General features: G+C 35.0%; 1 protein-coding gene across 18 annotated transcripts in view, besides 1 other annotated feature; it reads right to left on the bottom strand.

Annotated features, from left to right (window-relative positions):
- The window catches only part of LRRC4C (leucine rich repeat containing 4C), a 1,345,454-nt gene that overhangs the window by 689,859 nt on the left and 627,791 nt on the right, over positions 1–27,804 (bottom strand). The gene's annotated exons all lie outside the window — the stretch shown is intronic.
- Positions 15,202–15,496: a silencer, noted in NCBI's record as "tiled region #9582; K562 Repressive non-DNase unmatched - State 24:Quies". NCBI's record gives its function as "represses a minimal TATA promoter and a strong SV40 promoter by Sharpr-MPRA in K562 cells {active_cell/tissue: K562}" and the evidence as "EXISTENCE:reporter gene assay evidence [ECO:0000049][PMID:27701403]".

Below are 27,804 nucleotides of genomic sequence, written 5' to 3' on the forward strand. Positions count from 1 at the left end.
AATTATTATATAAATGGTTTTCTATTTTTCCTTCTCTTTTGAGGGAAGGATCTTTTACTAATTTTAGTAAAAATGGCCCTTTTCCTAATTTTACTAAAAATACCAATCTTCTCATAGACTCCCCTTGCTTATAAATGGAGTCTCATAGATTCCACATCCTTACACCAATCTTCTCATAGGCTCCATTTGCTTACAAATTTGATAGCTGTATCTATATACTGAGCTCATTCTTACCCTAAATTAAAATGCAAAAATATTCACTAGAATAAGAAATACATCCGTAGAATAAGAATATTTCTAGAGCCTTGGTTTAAAAATATGCTTTCAAGAAATTTGACTTTTCCTATGACCCAAATATTCTTTAAGCTCCTCACTTCCCTGGGATGTGCACCACCTAATTGAAGTAGTTTCATAACCACAGCATTCCGCACGTGTTTAATGACACAAGTAGCACATCAGTCACTTGGCTAATAAGCCTTCTCTGAAGCCTGTGGAAACAGAGGAAAATGCTCCCTTTATTCTTCCACTGTGTATTACGTTCCCCAAGCATGTATTATTATTATTCTTATTACCCAGTTGAACTAGTCTAATTTGCAGTTGGATAAATCATAAGCCAGTTGATTCTCAAGCCTCCCAAGTTATTACTTTACTTCATCCAAAGATTTTACAGCAGAGAACACTGGGGATATTCCAGATGACTTGAAATTATTTTTTTTTCTCACTCTCTAAAGCTATAAAAGTGCAAAAACTCTTATGTAGAGAAACATTTCCATAAATAATTAGTACTCCATTGCATTGGTCAAAAGAAATGCTTAAAGTAATCCATAAAAAGGAAAAATTAACTCATTGGATGGGGCTGGGTTTTTTAGATATTGGAATACATTGATTCCTAAATGGATCTTTGGAGTGTACATTTCTTGGCTTGGCCACCCAGTGTCCAGCTCACCTTTCTATAATGATAATATTTTAATTGAGTGAGAAGTATAAAACCTATCCCTCCATGCTACAAGGAATGCTTTGGTTACTTCATGTCCAACAATGAAGCCTGAGCCTAAGCTGATATTCAATTCCATTACTATGTCCCAGAAATTGAATCAATGAAATTTACATCACCTAACTTACTCCCTTGAGAAAAAGGATGTTTGCTGAGTGGCTGAGATTAGGGATCATGCAGATTTAGGATCCTATGGCAGCTATCTTGGGCCAAAGACAGAAAAAGTGGGCTGACAGTAAAGCAGACTCTAAAACTAAATCTCAAAAGTGGAAAAGGGGGAGGAAAACTTGTTCTAGTCCTACCACTTGACCAATTGGACAAATCGTCACTTACAGTCAAATTGCCCTCTGGAATTTTCAATTGTGACAGCCATTCATTGTTTAAACCAGATTGATTTGAGTCACTTTTCTTTTTTTTGTAAATAAACATATCTTAATACTCTATTTTTATGCAGTTCTGAGACTATGTAAATATTCTAGTGATAGACATATCTATACAAAATAAATTAACCCTGGGTGTACTAAACACTAGTTTCAAGAGTGTGACGATAAGTAAGACATTATCTCCACCTTCAACCTACAGTAAAGTTCTCTTCCCAAGTCTCTTGTTGACACTAGGGAGTCTTGTTCTTCACTTTCTTATATTAACTGCACAAAAAAACACAGATATATCTGTTATGATTCTAGTTCTCAGGCAAGCAGTATTCAATTTTAGTATTAATCACTATTGGTAAACAGCTTCAGAGATGTAAAGAGTATGGTGTTTATAAGACCATCACATTCATTCTATTTATGTAGGTATGACTCAGAAAAAAAAATAGGGTTTCATAATGTTCATCAAGAAAGAGCATGGTCCTAGGACTCAGCAGATTTCTTGTTGTTCTGTCCTTGCCTTTTGAGTACAACAATGGAACTGCTGGGAAAATCAGTGTCCTACAAAGGAATTTAATTACTCCAAATGGCCCCTAATGTCCCACCCAGCTTCAGTAGTATATAGTTTTGCTACGTATAATTTCTAAATGCATACACTGAAACCTTCATTTTTATAAAATTTTAAAAAATGTTACGACTGTTGTCATTATCTAATGCTGTGTGACAAACCACCTCAAAATTTAGTGGCCTTAAAAAATTTAGGCCACTTGAAGGCTGAGATTAGAATTATCTGAAGGATTATTTGCTCATATGTCTGGAGCTTGGGATGAGAAGGCTCAAATAGCAGAGAGACAGAAGAGCTAGGGTTCCTTGGATTTTCCTTCTCTTCATGTCTGTCTCCATCTATCTGTCCATGTCCATGTCCACGTCCATCTGTACCTCCAGCTTTATTTGTAGCTCTAGCTGTATCATCTCTATTGCTGGTCTGTCTGCTATGGCAGCTCAGAGCTGCTGGGGCAAACGCCCCAAGAGGGAGACAAGCAGAAGCTACATAACTTTTTAGGACTTAACCTCTGAAGCCATGCAGCACCACATCCACTATAATCCACAAGAATCGGGACAGTCACAATGACCCCCTCCTTTTCCAAGAGAGGGGAAACAAAACCTGCTATTGATGGAACAAAATTTTGGAAAAGTGGATAAGACCACAAATATTGTTGCAATAATTTTTGATAAATCTGCCCAAATCACAAATATATATTTACATGTGAGTCACATATCTGTGTGTATTTTGACTTAGAATATTTTACTTCATTTTAGTCCCAGAAATGTATACATCTGCTTACTACATCTACTATTAGAATCTATCAGTATTTCTCAAAAACATACCACTATGCAGGCAGGAAGAAAGGCATATTCCTGATGTCTGCTAGGAGACAGCGTATAGCCAGTCTTGAATTAAAAATGTTCTTGCATAATCTACATTCTAGAAAATTAAGAGGAGAGAGTTTTTGCATTTGTGAGAGTTGAGTAGGATTAAAAAAAAACTGCTCTACTTTTTTTCTCAAATTCATCAAAGAGAGCTACATTTATATTATATTTTTAATGACCCAAGTGCATGCTTTCTTTTGATTTTCTCTTCATCCCTTTAAGAAAACTGGATATGGTTGTTTTCAAAATATACAGCTAACTTTCAGGGCACCTCACTCCAACTTCAGTCAACTTTTACTCCTCACCCCCACACAGTTTTTTCCAATAGACTGATAAGTTGTCAATAATAAAAGTCAATTTCATAGTTGGTCAGAGATACATTTCAACAGGTTCAGAAGACAGAGACACTTAATTTTCACACTGTACCCTGTTGGTGCTACTAGTCCTGCGACAGGCTTCAAGGGACATCTCTCACCTGTCAGTTTTTATTGTCATCCCCAGACCCTGTAATAGTAGGTCTAACCATGAAGACAGAGGGAAACAAACAAACCGTGAGCACACCAGTTGTTTCTTTATTTCATCTTCACTGATCCCTCTCTCTCATTATTGATGGAAACAGCTTTACTCCAACATTGACCTTGTTGTGTAAAGGACAACTAAGTTGTATATTGTCAAACTCTTTCTGACAGAACAGAAGCCTTGAAGACTGTGCCATTCCTTTCTGTGACACAATTAAAGTCTGCTGTTCAGAGGAGCAAATGGAGCTGTCATCCAAAGCAGTAAATACTATGAAACTAGCAGGCATTGCAGTTTTCTGCACGGATTTTAGTATTCCATTTGAACCTTTGGTTTTAAGATACAGCATCTCATGCTTAGAGTAATTCAACATTCAGATCTCAACTTTGCCAGCATATGGCGAGAAAATCAACATGCTATTCTAATTGTATGGGATCTTAAGACAAAGCTTTGATTTAGATATTATATTGCTGGATACCACATTCAACAGGACTGATAAGCACCTTTGCTCTTAACTCTGCCAGGGTGCAGTAGCCTAGAATTCCATGCCTGGGAATAATATTTTTGATTATTTTGGAAAAAAATTACATCAGGTACATCTGGATCTGAACCCTCTTTCTGCTAATTACCAGTTTTTTTATCATGAGCAAGTGACTTAATAACCTGTGTCTTGGCTTCCTTATTTGTAAAATGGGAAGAATAATAGCTATATGTAAATGTGCTTCTGAGAATGCTCACTAAACAATAATAGATGATACAAGAGTAAGAAATGTAGTAAAATTATAAATTATATTGTGTATCCTATAGTATATATAATCTGATATTTTATATTATCATAATTATCATTACTGTTTCCATTATTATGACTATTTCTAGACTGCTAAAATTATACTTTCTATCTTGATTTTGATTGATAATAAAATTATATGATAATGATAAATTCATCAGCACTTTCAGAAATACATGTTCTCCACCCCTACTTATTTATTAATGCTTTAAGCATTCCTTTCTGTGTCTAACCTTCCTATACCTATTACTCAAGTCAGCCAGAGTTCTTGCTCTCAATTCTGAACTCTCACTATATCTGAAGTAATTCAATTGTAGCACTTACACATTCTATATTTTTGTTTTACTATTTATATTTTATTTTCTTCTCTCTTTCTCTCTCCTGTTATAAAGTAAAGGGTGCTCTCTGTCTCCCCTGCCTTCTCCTCTGCACAACGGAGCACAGCTGGAAAAATTCATGGAACTGCCCTGACTTGCCTCACTTAAAATGCATGACCACCAAGGTCAAGGGAGACCCAGTACCGCCGGTCAATCCTATATTTCTGATCCTTTCACTTTTTAAATAGCTGTTTCATACTTTCTCTCTTCTCATCAAATTTCCAAAGTCTCTTTCTTCAGCATCTCAGCTAATAACTTGCTTTCTCTCTGACTAAACAGAGGATTGATGAAAAATAGTGTTTCTGAGTTCTCATCACATATCTACATGCATCTGAGCCCTATTCTACCTTTCTTCCTGTGGGTGTGTCAATTTGTCTGTATACCTAATGCCAAACTTTTCACTTATTTGTCTTTTTAATCACTACCCAACCTCTCTCCCCTCTCCTGGGACTTAGCTTCAGCAGTTATTCCTCTCTGATGCTCACTGGTTCTTCCTTTTCTGCTGGACAATTCCCATCAGTGTACAAACATCCAGTTAAAATTCTGTCTTTGAAAAAAATCCCTCTCCAGACTTCACTGTCTTCCAACAACCATCTCAATTCTCTGCTTCCCTTTACAGTAAAACTTCTCAAAATAGTTTACTGTGTTTTCTACCTGCACCTAATTCTCTCTCCATTTCAACCTGGCTTCCTTCTCCACTATGCTGCTGAACTGCTCTTGTCAAAATCAAGAATGAACTGCATAGAGATAAGCATCTGACACGTTCTCTGTCTCCTACTTTTTATACTTGACCTGGGAAGATCCTACTTCAAGGCCCTTTGGATTGCATTCTCCTTTGCCTGTGCCTATTTTTCACACAGATATCACTATTTCTCAATATTATTTGTCATATTTTTGTTCAAACTTTTTTCACTGTAGTTTTCTTAATTATACTTAAAAATTTCTACATCTCCCCACCTCTGTGTCCTACCTATATCCCTCCCCTGCTGCATTTTTTTCTATAGAACTTTTTGCTGTAAGTAGATATTCTACTCATTCATTTACTGTCTGTTTCCCCTCCTCCACACAGAAAAAAAATAGCCTCATAAGGAAAGCAACGTATTGTTTGTTTCACTATTGAAACTTCAGCACCTAGAATTATGTTGACATGTTGCACGTGCTCACTCAACTGTATATTTTGAATAAATTTATTAATTTATTGTCTCTATATTGCCAGATCCTGGCATCATGCCTTACAAAGTGCAGACTCTCAGTAAATGGTGGTTGTTATTAAATTTCTTAAGGTTTGCTTATACTATTCTCCCTGAAATAGGAAGACCTCATTTTGACTTTCATTTTATTTCCAAGACTTATATGACTTTTAGTACTCTAAGAGATTGAAATGTACAAAAATAATGGTTTGAAGTCATAACACTGTTCAAAATAGAGGCATAAATTACTCTTTCTTTACTCCACATCCTTTCCTATTGCTTCATTTAGGCATTTTCCTCACAGCAAATATTTTTAAAACCTTTGTCTCTATTTATTACCTCCATTCCCTGACTTCCTTGTTGTTTGTTTTTTTATTAGACTTTGTATGGATTTCCAACTCAACCAGTTTACTCAAATCACTATTGTTCAGGTTACCAGTGACCTTGGTGTGGATAAATCCAATGTTTCTATATCTTCCATTATCTAATTGACCTTGCAGCAAAAATTGAGACACATGAATACTTGCTCCTTGTGGAAATACAGTCTTTTCTTGACTTCTGTGTCACCATGGTTCTCTCAGCTATTTCACCAGCAATATCTCAGTTGCCTTGGTTATCTCCTTCTCTGTTTAAGTTATGAATGTAGGAGTACCCCAACACTGGGGGAAGCCCTCATCAGTTTTTTATCTAAACTTTCTTCCAAGATGATCTTATTTTGTCCAATAGTTTTAAATAACATCTGTAAGCTAATAACCAAATTTTTAACTTCAGTCCTGATCTTTCTCTTGAGGTTAGACTCATTTTTAAACACGGTGTCTTGCATTGGATGTCTAATAACATTTCAAGATGAGTGTATCTCAGATGGTACTCTTGGTATCTTACCTCCCATTTCTGCAAATTGCTCCTTCCATTCCCTTCTTCAAATCAGAAAAGGGCACCAACATCTATCTGAGGGCTTGCACCAAATACTTAACGGTTAAATCTTAATTCTTCTATTACTATCACCCCTACTCCTAATTAATTAACATGTCTTTTTGGTTTGGTGCCCAAAATATATCCACCAACTTTCGTCAATTCCATTGTCACAATTGTTGTTCACTACTGGGGCCTGCTAAATGATCTGCCTGTACCCACATAACCCTTTACAGTCCAGAATACTTTTTTCCAAAAATTTATATCCAATACTAACATTTTCTTGCTTTAAGTTTTCCAATGTCTTCCAGTGTCACTTAGAATAAAATTCAAACTCTTCCCATGTTCTGCAAAGCCCTGCATAATCAGACCTCTGTCTTTCTCTCCAAACTTGTACTCTGCATTCCAGAAATCCTGGAGATCTTTTAATTCCTTGAGCATGGCACTTTGATTCTCTCCTATGGATGTTTAATTGTGTTCTTCCTTCATCTGGAAGATATTTCTCAAGCTTTCTTTTTCTTTTTTTTCCTTTAATGTCTGACTCTTTTCTTCACACAGATCTCACTTCAAATGTGACCTTCTAAAAGAGGCCCTCTCCAACTCCACTATCTAAAGTACTAATCACTATTATAATTTCTTACTTTATTTCCTCCATAGCACCTAAGATTATGTGAATTAATTATGTTGATTGTACCTCAAGCTTATTATATTTAATAACTGATAAACTGTGCTTGTACAAGAACATAAGTACCTTGAGGACAGGAACATTATGTATCCTGTTCACAGCTGTTTCCTAAGAGCCTGGTACAGTGCATGCCAGAGGGAAGCTATCAATAAATATATTTGAATTAATATATAAATGGCATCTACTCTTTTTTTTGAGATGGATTCTCTCTCTGTCAGCCAGACTAGAGTGCAGTGGTGTTACCTCAGCTCACTGCAACCTCTGCCTCCTGGATTCAAGCAATTCTCCTGCCTCAGCCTTCTGAGTAGCTGGGACTACAGGCACACACCACCATGCCCAGCTAATTTTTTATATTTTAGTAGAGAAGGGTTTCACCATGTTGCCCAAGCTGGTCTCAAACTCTGAGCTCAAGCAATATGCCTGCCTCAGCCTCCCAAAGTGCTGGGATTACAGGCATGAGCCATCACACCCGGCCAAATGGCATCTACTTTAGGCAGGCTGCTCCCTTGGGTTGTCCTTGTATGTGAGGTAGAGAGGATCATTCATGGGTTTCAATGTCCTTATATGTGAGATAGGGAGGATAATAGCAACTCTGCCAGGATGCCAAGAAGATCAGATATATAGAAATCAATGGCCCTTTCAGAATGCAGCCATTATTATTAATGAGACTTAGTTTAATTCCAACCTTCATGCACCTTTTCCCTATTATTTCACTTATCATCCTTCTCTCTAATTGCTATTGCATTGTAAGTACTGCCCAGTTTAACATGTAATTGTCTGTAATTTTTGTTAGCTTATGTTACAACCTCCCAAAGATTATTAAATTCAGTAAATGTCAAATGTAGTGGAAAAGGAGATGCTTATTTCTATTATTAATCCTAATTTGTAGGAACAGACTGTAGTAGAAAGCACATGGGTTTTCAAATCACATATAACTAGGTTTCCATCCTGATTTAGCAACTCTCACTTGTTATGTGACTTAGGCCTCTGACTGATACACAGTCTTCTCCTTTATAGAATGCAGACAGTTATATACATCTTGTGAATGTATCAGCAGATTATGTTTGCCCAATAAATAACAGCAATGGTATTAATAATAGAAATGATAATAAAATGATAGTGATAATATTTGATAAATTCGGCTTTAGAAAAGAAACTTGGCCCTCAATGTAACCATTGCTTTTGGTTCTCTATGTTAAAATATAAGATTCTTAATGATTTCCAAAAGCCTGCCCTGGAGCATTTAAGAGATATTATGTAATATTCTTCTCAAACATAAAAATAAGAATAGGAAAGATATTTGCCCTAAGCTCTAAGCCACAAAAATGAAAATGTGATAAGATATCATATAGGAAAAATAGACTCTAATGGCATACATCCCAGTATAGAATTTAATTTTCATTTATCCTAAAAGCAGCTTCTGTGGATAATGGAAAATTGTAATTTTTAACATTAGAATAATCAAAGAGTAAGGCACCAAAAGGCAAGAGAAACCTTCGGTTACCTATTTGTTTATAACACATCTGCAAAACATTTGGATAAAAAAAGAGAAGTGAGCAAGTGAATCTGAAAGAGAAACAAATTATAGAAGTCCCTAGATTCTAGAAAAAGGGAGAGAAAGTGGAAAAAAAATACATGATGATATACAGTGCATTTCTTCACATTAACATCTTGAAATACATGATTTGAATTTTAAAGTTCTATAAAATTCCCCAATTTTCTTAAGATCTCTGACTTGATCATTTCATGCAAGGTTGAGTTTGCTCAGTATGTACAGTTACAAAATGATGCCAGAATAAAATCTAATTGCCCAGGTTACCCCAGCAAATTTTGGAACCCATAGCAGAATTCCTTCTTTCTTATATTACAGTACATGCCTGTATTAGTCTGTTCTCATGCTGCTAATAAAGACATACCTGAGACTGGATAATTTATAAAGGAAAGAGGTTTAATTGACTCACAGTTTCATGTGGCTGGAGGGGCCTCATAATCATGGCGGAAGGCAAAGGAGGAGCAAAGACATGTCTTACATGGCAGCAGGGCAGAGAGCTTGTGCAGGGGAACTCCCATTTATAAAACCATCAGATCTTGTAAGGCTTATTAATTATTACAGTAACATTATGGGGAAAACTGCCCCATGATTCAATTATCTATACCTGGCTCCACCCTTGACATGTGGGGATTATTACAATTCAAGATGAGATTTGGGTGGGGACACAGCCAAACCACATCATTCCACCCTGGCCCCTCCCAAATCTCATGTTCTCACATTTCAAAACCAATCATGCCTTCCCAATAGTCCCCAAAGTCTTAACTTATTTCAGCATTAACTTAAGAGTCCACAGTCCAATGTCTCATCTGCCTATGATCCTGTAAAATCAAAAGCACGATAGTTACTTACTAGATACAATGAGGGTATCAGCATTGGATAAATGCACCCATTCCAAATGGGAGAAACTGGCAAAACGAAGGGGCTACTGGCCCCACACAAGTCCAAAATCAAATAGGACAGTCATTAAACCTTAATAATGTTCCAAATAATTGGACAGTTCCAAAATAATCTGCTTTGACTCCATATCTCATATCCAGGGCATGTTGATGCAAGAGGTGGTCACCCATGACTTTGGACAGATCCACCCCTGTGGCTTTGCAGGGTAGAGCCCTTCTCCTGGCTGCTTTCACAGGCTAGCATTGAGTCAGCGTCTTTTCCAGGTGCACAGTGCAAGCTGTCAGTGGCCCTCTTCTCACGGTTCCACTAGGCAGTTTCTCCATTGCAACTCTGTGTGGGGGCTCCAACCCCACATTTCCCTTCTGCCCTGACCTATCAGAGGTTCTCTATGAGGGCTCCACTCCTGCAGCAAGTTGCTGCCTGAACATTCAGGCATTTCCATACATCTTCTGAAATCTAGGTGGAGGTTCCCAAACCTCAATTCTTGACTTCTGTGTAGCAGCAATATGGTCAATACCACATCAAAGCTGCCAAGGCTTGAGGCTTGCACCCTCTGAAGCCATGGCTTGAGCTGTACCTTGGCTCCTTTTAGCCATGGCTAGAATGGCTGGGACGCAGGGCACCAAGTCCCTACACTGCACACAGTAGGGGGACCCTGGACTTGACCCATGAAACCATTTTTCCCTCCTATGCCTCCATGCCTGTGATGGGAGGGGCTGCTGCAAAGGTCTCTGACATGCCCTGGAGACATTTTCTCCATTGTCTTGGTGATTCACATTTGGTTCCTTGTTCCTTGTGCAAATTTCTGCAGCAGGCTTGAATTTCTCCCCAGAAAATGGGTTTTTTCTTTTCTATTGCATTGTCATCTGCAAATTTTTCAGACTTTTATGCTCTGCTTCATCTCGAATGCTTTGCCACTTAGAAATTTCTTCTGCCAGATACCCTAAATCATCTCTCTCAAGCTCAAAGTTTTACAAATCTCTAGGGCAGGGGCAAAATGCCACCAGTCTCTTTGCTAAAACATAGCAAAAGTGACATTTACTCCAGTTCCCAACAAGTTCCTCATTTCCATCTGAGACCACTTCAACCTGTACTTCATTGTCTATAATACTATCAGCACTTTGGTCAAAGCTATTCAACAATCTTTAGGAAGTTCCAAACATTCCCATATTTTTCTGTCCTCTTCTGAGAACTCCAAACTGTTCCATCCTCTGCCTGTTACCCAGTTCCAAAGTCGCTTCCACATTTTTGGGTATCTTTCCAGTAGCACACACTCTAATAGGACCAATTTACTGTATTAGTCCATTCTCACACTGCTAACAAAGACATACACAAGACTTGGTAATTTATAAAGGAAAGAGGTTTAACTGACTCACAGTTTCAGATGACTGGGGAGACCTCACTCTCATGGCACAAGGTGAATGAGGAGCGAAGTCATGTCTTACATGGTGGCAGTCAAGAGAGCATGTGTAGGGGACCTCCCTTTACAAAACCATCAGATTTTGTGAGACTTATTCACTATCGTAAGAACAGCACAGGAAAAACTTGCCCCTTAATTCAATTACCACTCACCAGGTCCCTCCCACAACATGTGGGGATTATGGGAGCTACAATTTAAGATGAGATTTGGGTGGGCCACAGCCAAACCATATCAATACCCTTCCCTCAGACCTTATTTACCAAAACACATTTGATAGATACTCCATTCCAATTCTCTTTTGAAGTCAGTAATTTTTTACCTTGCAGGTCTTGGATGATTTTCTCAAGAGCCCTGATTGCTCTCCATGGGAAGTCACCTTATTCTACCACCCATACTTTTAAAAAATTTCCTTTGTGGCTCCTTTTTTGCTGCCTCTTCCATGAGCTGATAATTTATGGCATATGTCCTTCCCAAGGAGCACCAGTCTCATTAAAATTGACTCCTGTTGTTACTGTTCTGTCAAATTCAGTGGGAATGCCATCAGCTCAGTGCACTGGTTGACCTGCACCTTCCTCTTTAACTCTAGTCCAACTCGTTGTCACATAAACATCAAGAAAAGGAGCTTGTTATAAAAGTGACACTTTTACCAGTGCTATATGATTATGTGTTCTAATAGAGAAATGACCTACATTTTTCCTCCTAGCATTAAAGCTAATAACTACATATCTTTCTTAATAGAATATAAGATGCTTTCTATACATGTAGTCAAAATTATTTAATGCGATTTCACGAAGTGAGTAACTGAGAAAGCAAAGAGCTAAGAGGACTTCCCCCCAGTTTGTCCTACCACTATTAAGAGGACAGAAATCAGCCACTTTTACTAAATGAGAGACCTGGGTCCACCTGGTAAAGGAGTAAGTAAAGCTCAAAGAGACCAAAGTTGAGGTTTGCTGACAGTTTATAAGTTTTACACGTATTGACTATCATGTTTCTTTTTGGGATGCAAATGGAAGATCATTAATTCTAGGCCACTAGAGGTTATCAGGAGGAACTGGGATGTAAAAGCAAAAGCTTGACAATAGCTCCACATCTGTGTGCCAACAGATTGCTGGATTTTACTCTTCACTCTCCATTGAGATCAGAGAGCAGAAAGCACAGTAGAAGGTACCCATGAGTAAATGTGAAAACCAAAACCAGCTGTCCTATCCTGTCACAGATTCACAACAGATATCCAGAGGCTCTTTGTAAACTACTCTGCCTGAAGTTTGTCTTTTTTCTTTTTTCAATTGGAGAGGAAGGTGTTATGTTGTGTGCAAAAAGCAAGAATGATAACCACTGGCTTCACACCTTGATTCATTTATAATGCATGTGTTAATAAGATAGTTACTGTGTTTTTTAGACACATTCTTATAGAGAGTATGATCATCATTAGCATCATTTAGCATTATACTCGTGGATATAATAGGACAATATGGATGATATCTACTGGCGACCAATTTCCATTGTTGGGTAAGTTTTAGAGGGCCATTTAAATGCAAATAACTGGGAGATTTCTAGGCTTAGAAAACAACTTTTAAATAACCTTAAAATTGATAAGTATATTACAACTAGTATTCTATAGGGTATTTTGATGTTTTTTAATCCTCAATCTTTTGCAAAAGATATTATATTCAGGGTTGACTCTGAAGGTCTTTAAAAGGCTTTCCACGTATAGGTAGAAGACTTGTGGTCCTATCACAATAGATATCTATAACGTAAAGACAGGTATTCCTGGATGGAACACAATGCAGAAGCTGATAAGTATGTCTCTTTTTCCATCGGAGCCTTGTCTACAATAGTTAGCTTAATCTGAAACTAGCATAATGACAGCTGTCTCTGTTCTAAGACAAATTGCAGTGGTGTAATAAATAAGGATCGAAAGCTAGAACAGCCAACCTGGTTATTCCTTTGCCTCACTCAGAAAACTTTCCTGCCAGTGTGTCTGAACTTGGCAGCAAACTGACATAATATTTATCTAACTGAAAAGAAATACAGGTGACAGCTATCTGAAATATCCCTCTCCTCAATGACTCTTTTTCATCATAATAAAATAAAAAGAGAGAGAAGAGACAGACAGACAGAGAGACTTTCTGAGACCATGATTTTTCAAGGGCTAGATATTTATATGAAGAAAGCTGAGAGTAATTAGTAGTTTTTCAGATCCTTTTAACTCATAATGATACTGGGATCTGAAGGACCCTGATAGATATGATGCGTTGCATCATAACGGTTATTCTGGCAAGACATAGTCCACCTGTCTTAGTAGAACTTAGTAGTTGATGCAAGGGTTGCATGGTTTAGTGAGAACATGTTAGCATTTTACTGGGGACATCTAGTTACTGGTCCGTAATATCCCACTCCCATCCAAATTTTGCTTCTTCTCCTGCTCTCTTTTCCTAAACGAATGACAAACATCATCCAGTAATTTGCCCAAGTCAGAAACCTGGTAATCACTTTTGAATCTTATCTCTTCCTTACATTAAAAGTTAAGTTTAACTCATCAACTTTCACCCATGCTGGCTGACTCCTCAAATGCTTACAACTCTATTTTTTCTCTTTTCTCACTGCCAGTGCCTTAGGTCAAGCCTTCACTTTTCCCTAACTTTATCATAACAATACTTATAAAGCTTCCTTCTATACTTCTATGCTTTTCTATCAGCATAACACACATTGCTGTCTGCAAATCTTTGCACACACATAAATCATGTCAGCAATTCACCCAAGTTAATTATGCCTAATGGGCTTCAGGATTTAATTGGTTTGTTTGTTTGTTTTTCCCTGAGATTATGAAAAGCTCTTTATTGAGTAGTTGCCTTGTTTAAACAAGATTTCTTAAGTGGAGTGCCTTGATCAATGCCTGACTTATAAAAACTATAAAATAAGGTTTCTTCTCTCTTCTTTCATCTTTTTCATTCATCTTTACCTATATTGTTTATATTCTAGCACTATCTTACTTAGGAAACCAAGGTTAAGATGCTTCTCCTCAGGTTACATCCATAACATCTGTGAAAATCATTCTTGTGACACAAACCATTGCACTGTAATTGTCTACTTAGTGTTTTATTCCCACTAAGGATCGCAAGTTCCTGGATGCTAAGACTTTCCCTTCCATCTTTATATATCCAATTATTGGCTCAGTGTGTGAATAGGTACCTAATAAGTTTCACTTGGTATATCTTGCAACACTAAATTGCTAAATATATCAAATAAGCTCTGGTTTATAAAAGTTAGTTGAGCTTATTTTTTAAACTGTCAGTTGTTTAATAACATAAAGTGCTATTATCATCATATCACTAATAATAAGAAAGATTAGGTTAACTCCTTTCTCCTATTTTTGTTCAGTTTCTATGATAAGGAAAAAAATGATTTACTTCCTAAAAACAAATATAAGCACATTTTTCAAAATAATTTTAAGACCAATATTCTATGCCTTCTCTTTTTAAACATATTATTTTATATCGAGATTTCATGTTGAAATACTACTCAAAAACCTTACATATCATCAGTTACCCAAGATATATCTAAATCAATAGGATACATACTAAATTAAGGAATCAGGTTCATAATTTCTAAAAGAGTTTAATTTGTATTTTGTTAACCAATTCATACCTAGCTAAATAATACTGCACCCATTTTCTTAGCCTGTCACTTCACTGAGGTCTTACTCTACACAAATAAACCATTTCACTTTTGTTACAGTGAAAGATTACAAAACAGAACAGGTAGATATAATACATATGGATAATGCCTATATATATCCTGAACCAATGACACTGAAATTTTCAGTTTTAGGAAAAATTGATGATTCATTTCCTATGAAACTTTTAAAGAAAATCTGAAAGGAAGGAGGTATCCAATGATACGTAATCCTGTTTTTTCTTTACATTAGGTTTCAAAAGTTATCTAATGGTGAAACCATTCTCAATAAAATGATTCACAAATATGTGCAGAAGAGTTGGTAGGACATCCAGATATGGGCAATTAAGAAGATAGGCAAAATACCTTCTGCAAAAACCCACTCTACAACTACACAGAATTGATGAAAATAACTAGTTCAACAATCTGGAAATAAACCAAAGTCATAAAAAAATCTGAGAGGCATTTACAGATGAAAAACTGCAGAAGAACAGGTAAGAAGAGGATTTTATAATGTTCTTGCCCCGGAATTCTGCTACTTCCCCACTTCCACCACTGGATGGAGATTCAGCCAGAGCAGAGTAAAGCCAGGAGGACTGGCACCTTTGTTGTAGTTGATGTTGGCAGCAATGCCCACAAAGCCTATTGGTGTTGTTAGTAGAAATTACAATGGATTTTCAAAGCTTCACATTGCATGGTTGGGGAAAATATATTCCTGACTGAGGCTATACATATATGTAGTTAAAAATTAGGAGCTTCTAAGCTAGCCGCATAGTCCTGGTCAACCCAGAAGCTGTGTGCATAAACACAGGAGATGCAAAAGGGTCCAGCAGAAAATAAATGCCAGGGAAGGCTTGAAAATTGGCTGAAATTTGAATGTGATTCACCATACACTGCATCTGCAGAAAACTGAAGGGTTACTGTTCTGAGATGGTTAAGCATAATTTCTGATCAGTCATTGGCTAATTATTAACGTACTCAAGATACATAGAAAAACTCTAGGAAGCTAGAGTTAAAAGTAAAATCAAGAATTAATTTTAAAACATCTGAGCAGAAACATCAGCAACTACATACCAGAGGGAAGACAAATTTCAGAATTAATCCAGAAAAGTGACTAAATTAAAAAAAAGACACAAAAAACCACTAATGTCAACAAACTTCATTTTAAAAAAGCAAAAATAGAAATCTAGCATTGCTGTAGCACATTCTATAAAATGTCTGATTTTCAACAAAAAGGTATAAGAAATATAATGAAACAGAAAAGTAACAGCCATATTAAAGGGATCGAAATAGAAAAATAGTCAATAGAAACTGTCTAAGTAATGTACTCATGTTTGATTTAGCAGACAAATGCTTGAAAGAAGTATTATAAATATTGTCTAAGAAGTGGAAACATTTTTACATGATGTAAAGGAAGCAAGACAGCAATAAATTGAAAATAGTGTCATAAAAGTAATTATACATATTTTTTCAGAAATGAAAATTCTCGAGCTGAAAAGCTCAAAAAATGAAAGAAAAATGTAGTAGAGATGTTTCACAGTAGATTAGATGTGGCAGAAAGAAAAATCAGGAAATCTGAATATAGTTCAAATAAATTAGCCAGTATGAAGAGTAGGGAGTAAAACACATTACATTCATTATAAAGTGGGGTTTATCCTATAAATCCAAGGTTATTTCAATCTTTGAAAATAAATTCATTTTATATACAACATCAATAGAATAAAGAACAAAATTATTATCTTTATAAGTGCAGCAAAAGCATTTAACAATATCTAACATTTATTCATTTTAAAAATTATCAGAAAACTAGGAATAGAAGTAAACACCTTCATCTTGACAATAAGCATTTACAAACCTACAACCAAATCCTGTCATTCTAACATTAGAAAGAAGACAAAGAAATATGCTCTTGTCCTTTCTAGTCAACATAATACTGGAGTTTCTGATCAGTGTAGTCAGACAAATAAATAACTAAAAGACATCTAGATTATAGAGGAAGAAGTAAAATTGCAGACAAAATAATCTTGTGTATAGAAAATCCCAAGAAATTCACACAAAAAGTCCACTGGAACAAACAAAGAAGTAAAATAACTTTGCAAAATACAAAGTCAATATACAAAATTTAATTTTATTTCTACATAGTAGCAACAGAAAATCCTAAATTGAAATAGAGAAAACAATATTACTCACAATATATTTTAAAAGAAAATATACTAGTAAATAAATCTGATGAAGTTTAAGACTTATACACTGAAACCTCTAAAACACTGCCAACAAAAATTAGAGATTTATATAAATGGAGATGTATTTCATGTTCATGGATTGAAACACACAATAATTTTAAAATGGCAATTCTCAAATTAACCAATAAATTCAATACAACTCTACCAAAATTCCCATGCACTATTTTTTGGGGAAATTGACCAACTGCTCCTAAAATTTATATGAAAATGAAAAGGATTTAAACAAGACAAACAATTTTGAAGAAAAATAAATTTGGAATATATAGACTATCAGATTTCGGAATTTAATATAAAGCCACAATAATCAAGGCAGGGTATAATCGGTGCCAGGATATGAATAAAAATAAATTATTATAGATTTGAGATTTGAAAAGTAAATCCTTACAGGTGTAGTCAATTAATTTTTTCTTTAATAAATTTATATTTTTTAACAATTTCAAATTAATAGATAAGTTGTAGACATAATACAGAGAGTTCTTATATGGCCTTCACCCAATTTTCCCTAATATTTGTCTTTTACATTACCATGGAATGTTTGTAAAAATTAATAAATAAATAAATAATAAAAACACCAGCATTTTCAAACAAGATCATGAAAAATAAGGAAAGACTAAAAAACTTTCACAGACCAAAAGGAACTAAGAAGACATGAGGACTAAATGTAACATGGTATCCTTGATTCAATTCTTGAACAGTAAAAGGACATTAGTGTAAAACCTGGTAATATCTCAAAAAGACTGGAGTTTAGTGAATAGTATGGTCAAATGATTTTTTTATTGATTTGTAATAGTTAGACATATTTATGTATATGTGATATCTTGAGACATGCAGATAATGCATAATGACCAAATCAGGGTTATAAGGATATCTATCCCCTTAAACATTTATTATTTCTTTATGTTGGAGATATTTTAAATATTTTTTCTAGCTATTTTGGCATGCGCAATAAATTATTGTTAATTATGTTTACCCTACTGTGCTATTGAACACTAGAACTTATTCCTTCAATCTATTTTTGTAACCACTAACCCACCAATCTTCACCCCACAACTAAACTTCCTAGGTTCTAGTCCACCATCCACTCTACCTCCAAGAGATTGACTTTTTTAGTTCCTACATGTGAATGAGTGAGAACATGTGATATTTGTCTTTCTGTGCCTGACATATTTCACTTAACATAATGACCTCTACTTCTATCCATGTTTCTATAAATGACAGAATTTGATTCTAGGTTTTTTTTTTTTTATCGCTGAATAGTATTCCATTATATGTATAAACAACCTTTTTTAAAAAATCCATTCATTCACTGATGGACACTTAGGTTGATTCTCTATCTTGGCTATTGTGAATGATGCTGCAATAAACAGCAGGACAGATACCTCTTCAATGTAATGGTTTTCTTTCTTTTAGGATTATTTGTTTTTTAGCTATTGAGTTGTTTGAGTCTCTTATATATTCCGGTTATTAATTCCGTGTCAGTTGGAAAGTTTGCAAATATTTTCTCCCATGCTGTAGGTTGGCTCTTCACTTTGTTGGTGGTTTTCTTTGCTGTGCAGAAGCTTTTTAATTTAATAGAATCCCATTTGTCTATTTTTATTTGTCTGTATCTTTGAGGTCTTACCCCAAAAAAATTTGCCCAAATCAATTTTCTAAAGCGCTTCCCTAATGTTGTCTTTTAGTTATTTCCTAGTTTTAGGCCTTACATTTCAGTCTTTAATTCATTTTGATTTGATTTTTGTATATAGTGAGAGATAGGGGTTTAGTTTAATTTTTCCTGTATATAGATCTATCCAGTTTTCCCAGCACCATTTATAGAAAAGTCTGTTCTTTCTCCACAGAATAATCTTGGTATCTTATTGAAAATCAGTTGGTTATAAATCTGTGATTTTATCTCTGGGTTCTCCATTCTGTTCTATCAGTCTATGTGTTTGTGTGTTCAATTGACTTTTCATAAAGGTATCAAAGCATTCAATGTCAAAATGTTAATATTTTCAAAAGATAGTGCTTGCATAATTGTATATCTGCCAACAAAGAGCTTAGCCTTTTACTTTACTGTATGTAAAAATTAAAATGACATCAACCATACACCTAATTGTAAGCATTAAAATTATTTAAAATCCTAGACAAAAACATAAGAGAAAATTCTTATTATTTTGGGTTGGGTGAATGTCCTTAGTTAGATACAGAATCAAAAGCCCAATCAATGAGAGAAAAAAATAATGTTTGATTTCATAAAAATTTGAAAACTCTGTGCTTCAGAAGACAAGGAATGATTTCCAAGGGTGGGAGAAAAGTAAAAATAAATACATTAATTAATTAATTTAAATGAAGAAAATAAAAAGGGAAGCAACATACTGGGAGAATATATTTTTATAATCATTCATTAGATATACAATTTGGAAAAAGGTGAATAATTATAAAATCACCAAATATTTTGAATAGACATTTGACAAAGAAGATATATGAATAGCTAATTGGCACATGAAAATGTTCAGCATCTTTTATCATTAGAGAAATGCAAATCAAAAATACAATGAAATACCACAGCACAGCTTCTAACAAAAACGATAGATAATATGAAATGATAGCAAGGATGTACAAATCTGGAATGCTCATATATTGCCAATAAATATGTAAAATGGTAAAGCTCCTTTAGAAAGTATTTTGGCAGTTATAGTGTTAAACATAAACTTACCCTATGACCTAGAAACTCCACTCTTAAAATCTACCCAAGACAAGTAAAAATGTACTTACGCAAAGACATCTACACAATGTTCATAGCAGCATGATTCATAATAGCCCAAGAATTGATACAACATGATATAACTATAAAAATAAAATGCCATTAAGCAATAGAAACAAATGGATTACTGATACATGCTGTTAGATGGACGGAACTCAAAAATATTATATTAAGTGAAAGAAACCAGATGCAAAAGACTATATGTTGTCTGACTTAATAAACGTGGAATTTCCAAAAAAAGGAAAATTTATAGACAGAAAACAAATCTATAGTTGCCAAAGACAGGGAGTAGAAATGGGAGGTATCTGCAAAAGGGATGAGGGAAATTTGGGGGTTGATTGAAATATCTTAAAACCAGATGGTGGTAATGATTGTACAATTTCATACATTTAGAAAACATTATAGAATTATACATTTCTAATTTGTGAATTTTATTGTATTAAACCTCACTAAAGCTGTTAAGATGTATAGAATATTAGGATAAAATTCAAAAATTTTAAAAGTAGATTAAAATTTTTAAAAGTTATTAAAATTAAAATGAAAAATTAAATATAAAGTAGGAAAGTGTCTTAATTCTTTCCTAAATAGAGTTTCATCCATATGTAAAATAGGTAGCAGAAAAGGCATCTTACAGTAATCCATCATCCCAAATCTCTGGATTCACGTTTCCACTACTAGAAATCTTCCCCAAGTTTAAATATGTACCCCAACCGAGCTCTGTTTTTCTAACTATTCTATTATTACTCATCTAAATTCATGAACGTTACAGACATTATTCATCATGCTAATAGTCTTCTTAATCGAAGTACCCCATACATATTTCTAAGCGGGCCTGCAAGTCAAAGTGCTACATTATTAGAAATGTCAACGTGTCTCCATGGGTGAGACCCAGAGTAAAATTGCCACCAGTCAGAACTCAAATTGTAGTCATGATTTCTTGTTAGTGCTATCTATCTACTGAGCTGGTCATAGTATCCTCCTCTTGGCGACAGAGAGAACAAGTAAAGATAATTATGCCTTTTTACAATATACGTACTAATATAAAAATGCGGCTGTCACTTCTGCCACACTGCCACAGCTGGTCACTGCTCTTTTACGGTGAGTTGGTCCCTGCTTCTAAGTGGCCATTACAGAGACCATAATGGCATTTCAAGCTGAAAGAGAAGGGAACTGATGTTTATCAGTTATCCACTAAGTACATTGTGTAGGTGCTTCCACTTACATTAGCTTCACTTAATCTTAATAAAACTCCGAGGTAGATGTTAAAACTTCCTTTTTATATAAAGAGAAAACGAGACTCAGGGAAGTTAAATGAATTATTCAGCTTCTCCTGGTAGTTCACTGGAGTACCTACATTGAATCATCAGTCTTTAGAGTACAAATTCTACCTAAGTGTGTATAAAACGATGGCTCTCACTATGCCGTGTTGCCGAGATCTAAATGATGAATACGTGATTACTGAAGGTCCAGACGATTCCATCACCTCCTCTCTTAAAGGAGACTGCCCATTCTCGGTTTCTGCAGAATTACCCAGTGAGGCTGGCCTCATTGGAGTACTGCCTAGTTCCTCTCTCCCTGTCAAATTACAATCTGCCATCTCTACTTGACATCTAAACTCAGTCCTTTCTCTCAGGAACAGAAGAACTTGGCATTCCCAGCAAGGACTCAATCATACACTGGCTATAACAATAAGGTAAAAGTCACTTTAAATAATTAAGTGCTATCCAGTGTAATGTGTAATCAACCTAAAGTGCACAAAAGCAGAGGCATGTGTCACAATACATAGCTGGTTTGGACCTGGCCTTCATTTTTCCCACCTTCATTTCCTTCAGAGAATAGTAGAGTAAAACAGGGGAGTGTTTCTTTTTCTTTCCTGACAGAAGACACGACATGTCCCCATTTAAGAGTCTGCCAGAGTCCACTTAGTGTTGACACATGTTGACTGGATGACACAAAGATAGGAAAGGTTGAAGGATTCTTGGAAGGAAAGAAGCCAGTTGTATATTCTTTTCGTAAGAAAAAAAAAAGAAAAAAATTTAAACAGTACTTTTTTTTCTTTCCTTTTATGTATGCTTCACATATTGTATTCTGGGGGGGGGGCGTCTCACATATATTCAATGAGTACAGGAGGATAAAGTGAGGAAATTGCAGGGTTTGTGAAGATTCCTTTTTGGGTGGTGCACCCTTATGTAGTCCACAAAGCACTAAATAAGGGGCAGATTTATAAAGGGGAGACAGACAGTTATTTTCCCTTCCACATAGAACTAACTGCTTGTTAAAGAGCAAATCATTCCTTTCTATTTAGCCAGATTGCTGTCTCTTGATTGCATACTTAATCATGGAAATTTAACTTTCTTCCTGGAGATACAATTTTTCTTTGCAGTCAATATGTAGTCAATGCATGTTAATACAATCAAGCTATTCTTTCCTTCTCTCTCTCAACCAAAAGTCCCATTAATAACAGCAATAGCAGCAACATTTGACATTTATACAGCCTGAAGGATTCCAAAAAGATTTCACCAATTACTGTGAATAGAGTCCTGATGAGCTGCAGCTACTTTTGAGGCAGGAAGAGAATAAGCAGAAGCACAAAGTCACAGTGAGAGAGATTCTGCCCAAGGGTATGTGCCATACGCCCCCTTCTTTAAATATTCCAAAATATTATTCATGATGACAGAGAAAACGCACGTCTTTTGCTTTGAAACCACCTAAAAGTCATTAGAAGTAAAATAATATTCAGCTGGTCAACTAAAATGAGACACTAGGAAGGGTAGAATTAAGTTTATTTCCAGTTGGTTCCATTTTTGGCATGATTATTAATCTAGCCTTGATACTAATTGGAAAACTTGAGACACAACAGGCAATTCAAGTAGTCCTGATATCTTGAATTTTTCCATAATTTTCTCAGATACTGTAAGGGACTGGCTAGAATTCAGGAATATATTTTCACTGGAAGGATTTCAATTCAGTAACTAAAATATTGCCTTATGCACAGAGAACAAGAGTTTCAAGAGGATTTAAATACATACTTTGAAATTCTCTTTTACTAAAAATAAATCAATCATATCAACAGCAGAAAGATAAAACTGAGAAATATTACTATCCTTTGAAAACACTACAAATTCCGTTCTCCTAAGACTTACGTAATATCTTTTGATAACGTACTAATTTGAAAACCATCCACTAATCACACAACATGCAATAAAGTATACAATAAAGTTAAAGTTTTTGATTCCCAATATCATAAAAGCATAAACTTACTCAAGAACCACAACAACCCGTTTCCAATATGATACAAGTAATAATGGCTACTGAAATGTCAATATTTAATTGAACGTATCTAGGAGGCTGGTTGCTGAATCTGCTTAAATCCATTTTAGTTGTATAAATGCATCTTATTTTTCATGTCAGATTTCAAAACAGTGGGCCATACTAATTTGTATTCCTTAATGAAGCCAAAGACTGTCGCTGCCAAAGGAGTACCATGTGCAGAGTTACCAGACAGGTACTGTTTTCTATTATTATACACATTTGTGAAAATCATACATAGTCAATCTCTTAAATAGCAGGAGACTAAAAAGAAAAAATAAAAAAAGTTCCTCTTGAGCCTAAAGCCAAAAGCAAAGACAAGAATCTTTGCTATCTTCTTTCTAGATAGACTTACACTGACTCTTTGAGGTTAACTGAAACCTAATAATATTAAAACCTGAATAACACAGTTATAAATATGTATCAACATGTGAATTCTACCTTATGGGCCCTTAGAGAAAAGTAATTGAATGTTCAGTCTGTAGATGCTTTTAAACTGAAAAAATAAACTACCTCATTTTATTTATTTTCTCTTGATGAATAATGAAATGAGTATGTTTGCGTGTGTGCATGTATGGGTGCATGTGTGTACATGTAGCTAAATATATAATCATTAATTCTCCCAGTTCCAGATGGCAAATTGTATAGGATTTTACATATTTCATCTATCAAGTGAATAAAGAAATACCACATATGAAGGATTTAAAAATGTAAGATATATCACCTCACTGAGAAAGAGGCATGATCTTTTCTAGAAAAGACGAACAGGTGCTTATCAAAAATAAAAACAATTACAATATCTTTATAGAGTCTTGTTTAGATTCTTTTAGAGTCTCTTCTACATGGTTAGAAGTCTAATAATATAGCAGGTTTATATAATATTTTTAACTGGTAACTATAAAACAGTGCCTAAGCTAAAAAATTGTGGAGCTAAAATTATACTTGAACAAAACGATATGTATACTGCCCTTTATTTTGTATGTATACAAACATACACACACACACACACACACACACACTCAAAAACTAAATACAAAATATATAGCATATAAGTATATATTATATACATACACATATATGCATATGGGTAATGCAACATTTTCTTGCTTTGACTATTTGAATTATACTATTTCTTTTTCTCCAGCATGGTGAAAATAAGTAAATTTACATTAGAATTATGCAACTAGGATGCAAAACCCTCTCCTGATTTCTACAAATAATATTTTGTAGTTTGCTAATGTCAAGAATATTTCAGTCTTCAGACTAATGGAAACACATATTGACATATTGTAGGAACAAATTCTTTATATATATTTAGATAATATAAAGTTTTTAGCTGTGCTTTAGTCTTTGACTTACATGGTTCGCATTTATACTAAAATGGAAACATTCAGGTTTTTAGCATTAAGTGATTTGGATATGGAAAAGTTTCATACAAATGTGTCCTACCATATTTTAAACTCAGAAAACTGACAGGAAAAAAAATAGTCTTAAACAAGATTGGTTGCTGTTCTGGCTCTACCACTACCTCCTTGTCTAGCCTAGATCAAGCTGTTTACCCTCTCTAGGATTTCATTTCCTCTTGTGGAAAACAAAGGGCTTGTACTAGACAATTTGTCTGCAAACTCTGCATCTGAAATGTTATTAAGTATCTTAGAATGACTAAGCTTCCATTCTATTTCCTAAGGCAGTCAGTCATCAAAACTACCCGAGCCATAAATCTAAATATTTATAAAGCTATATCCTAAAATAATTATTTAAAATCTTTTTTCTAGGATGTAAGTAATTTTATCCTTAACACATATGCTGCATTTTTCTGGTCTTATTCTGGTTTCTAAATATAATAATGCACAAACAAAAAACTTGGTTAGAATTCAACACTTCCTGCTGTTCATTCGGCTACCTGATGCCCAGTAATGTTTACATCATAATTGGTTTCTAAGGAAATGATTATATCATCATAAACTAGATATCTTGTTTTGAAGAATTCTGCTTTGATGCAGATAGCTTTTCAATGGGAAATAAGATGAAGTACAATAAAGAGTACAAATTTAGGCATCACTGCCTATGATATTGAGGATGGGAAAAAAATTGAAAATATGCTTTTGAAAACTCCTTCAGATCATCAAGTCCTACCAATATTGAAACAGTATGGACACATAACCATAATGCTTTCTTATTCTTGCTTTATAGATGGAAAGGTTTGCAGCCCCTGGAATTGCAGAGCAGAAACATTCTGGATTGCTTTTGCAGAGCAACATATGGTTACAGAGTCACTTAGGAATATTAGTAGTTTCTTTGGCAATGCAGAGATTTTGCTACATATTTGTTCTTGAATATAGCTAAAGGCTGCTCAAATTATTTTATTGGATGATATTTAACTCCAAGTATTTTGGAATGTTTGAAAATTATGTAACAAATTTAAAGGCTATTCATTTTGCCAAAGGTGCCAAAACTAATGACATTTGAACAATATCGTCCAAATCGAGGTCTGTGCTGTAGAAAGAAAAGTAAAAAATTCTATTCTGCTACTACTGTTATTCATTCATCAAATCGTTAATATTTCTCCATAATATTTTTTAAAACCCATATATTGATATTGATTCCATTATCTATCAACCACTGTGTCAGGTGCTGGAGCTGTAAAACTAAAAATAGTGTAATTCCTGTGTTTAGGATATCGTCCTATATTGAAAAGCAACATACAAATAAACTAATAACGCAGACACAATGAGGTGTGTTTAAAGTCCCCCAGGAATTGCTATGAAAACACTAAAAATAAATATTATTGCCTCTGGAAATGTATGGGGTGAAGTCTAATTCAAAGAAGACTTGACAGAAGAGCTAACAGTTGAGCAGGGTCTTGAGGGATGAATAGGTGTTTCTCAGCAAGATAACTTGCAGAAAAAATTGTATGTTTAGAGGCCTTAAGGAATAAAAACAAGCACGGGCTATTAAGATCTATGATGTGACCAAAACACCAAAAAGGGAAATGGCAGAAATGTTAACTACTGAAATTTATTCAATAACTGCGGTTGAATATGGATGAATATTCTCTAATAACACATGGAACAGTATGTCCAAAAGCCTAGAGGCAGTTAACTACAGTTCTTTCTCAACTTTCCACTTCTTTGTTAATACATGAAATACAAGCTAGTATCTTATTATTCCCCATACTTGCTTTAAATGCCAACCAAAGCAGTATTATCAACTACTGACTGTTCCTGACGTCCAAAGCCCATCCAACTGCAGACTCTACGCTCCTTTGTGTCAGTGTTTTAGGTTTTCTAAGAGAAATTGCCCTTACACTGAACAAAGAGTAAGTGGTTAGAGTTCATTTTGAGTGGTAGCCCTCCATTTCTGTAGAAATTATATACTGAGTTAAACAGTTAATAAGTTCTTTACGAAAAATAAAAGAAACCCCAAATCAAATTGGTGTAAAATAAAGGAGAGGCATGTTAGCTCATATCTAAAGGAGAACAGACTGGAGAGGGTTGTGAGTTGTTTTATGTCAGAGTCTCCCTCTACCCTTCATGCCGACGTACACCATATGGGGCGGATTCATCTTCGTTTGTAGGTTGGTCACCAATAACAAGTTGATCTATATTTTTTCTTAGTTACATGACTGACTTCCCATGGAATGCAATAAAAAGAATTGTTTCTTTCCCTAACACTGTCAGGCCCTGAATTGATCTATGGCAAAGAGGGTGGAGGAAATTATCATGGTTCGTGTTAACTTATTAGCTGCAGTAAAGTGGCTGTTGAAATGAATTACAATGTCCAGTTTGAACCACCCAAAGACACTTGTTGGAATCAGTAATTCCACACAAACAGTACTTTTTTCACTTTGTTAGTAAAGCTTCAAACACTGATACTTTACTTAGTTGTTATCTAGAGGTCAGATATCACACAGTAGGCAATGGGTAGCAGTGATAGAGAAGCAAAAGAGGGGCATAATTCAACAAGCTTGCAGCTGGAATCTTCATTTCACAGAGATTCTTCACTGGGTTCTAAGAAATTATTCCTGAATTCTAAGTAATTATTCCTAAGTATAAGATAAATTTCTGAAATTGTTACTTTTGCTCTCTGGTAAATGCATAAAAGGTGAAGAAACTGAAACTCACAGCCTTCTGGTAGGAGAAAGGATTTATGTATGTGTATTATAAAATAATCCTTTAGTAGTCAGGCAGGAATTAAATGATGTTTTGAAATAGACCCACTCAATACTCTCCAAGCAGACATATCTGATGAACCTGTCTTCCATTCCCCTCCTCAGAAGGTCACATAAATTCAAAGTATTATTTTGTCATTAAAATAATACAAAAATAAATAATTAGATTTACAATTTGAAATTTATTCTTAAAATGTAATTCAATATTAAATTGTGAGTACATATAACTGAAATATATAGGAATAAAATGTATTAGTTCATTTTCATACTGCTATGAAGAAATACCCGAGACTGGGTAAATTATAAAGAAAAAGAGGTTTAATGGACTCAGTTCTACATGGCTGCAGAGGCCTCACAATCATGGCAGAAGGCAAAGGAGGAGCAAAGTCATGTTTTACATGGTGGCAGGCAAGAGAGCATGTGCAGGGGAACTGTCCTTTATAAAACCATTGGATCTCATGAAATATATTCACTATCACAAGAACAGCATGGGAGAAACCTGCCCCCATGATTCAGTTACCTCCCACTGGG

This window comes from Homo sapiens, chromosome 11, assembly GCF_000001405.40.
Source record: "Homo sapiens chromosome 11, GRCh38.p14 Primary Assembly".
Taxonomy (NCBI): Eukaryota; Metazoa; Chordata; class Mammalia; order Primates; family Hominidae; genus Homo; species Homo sapiens.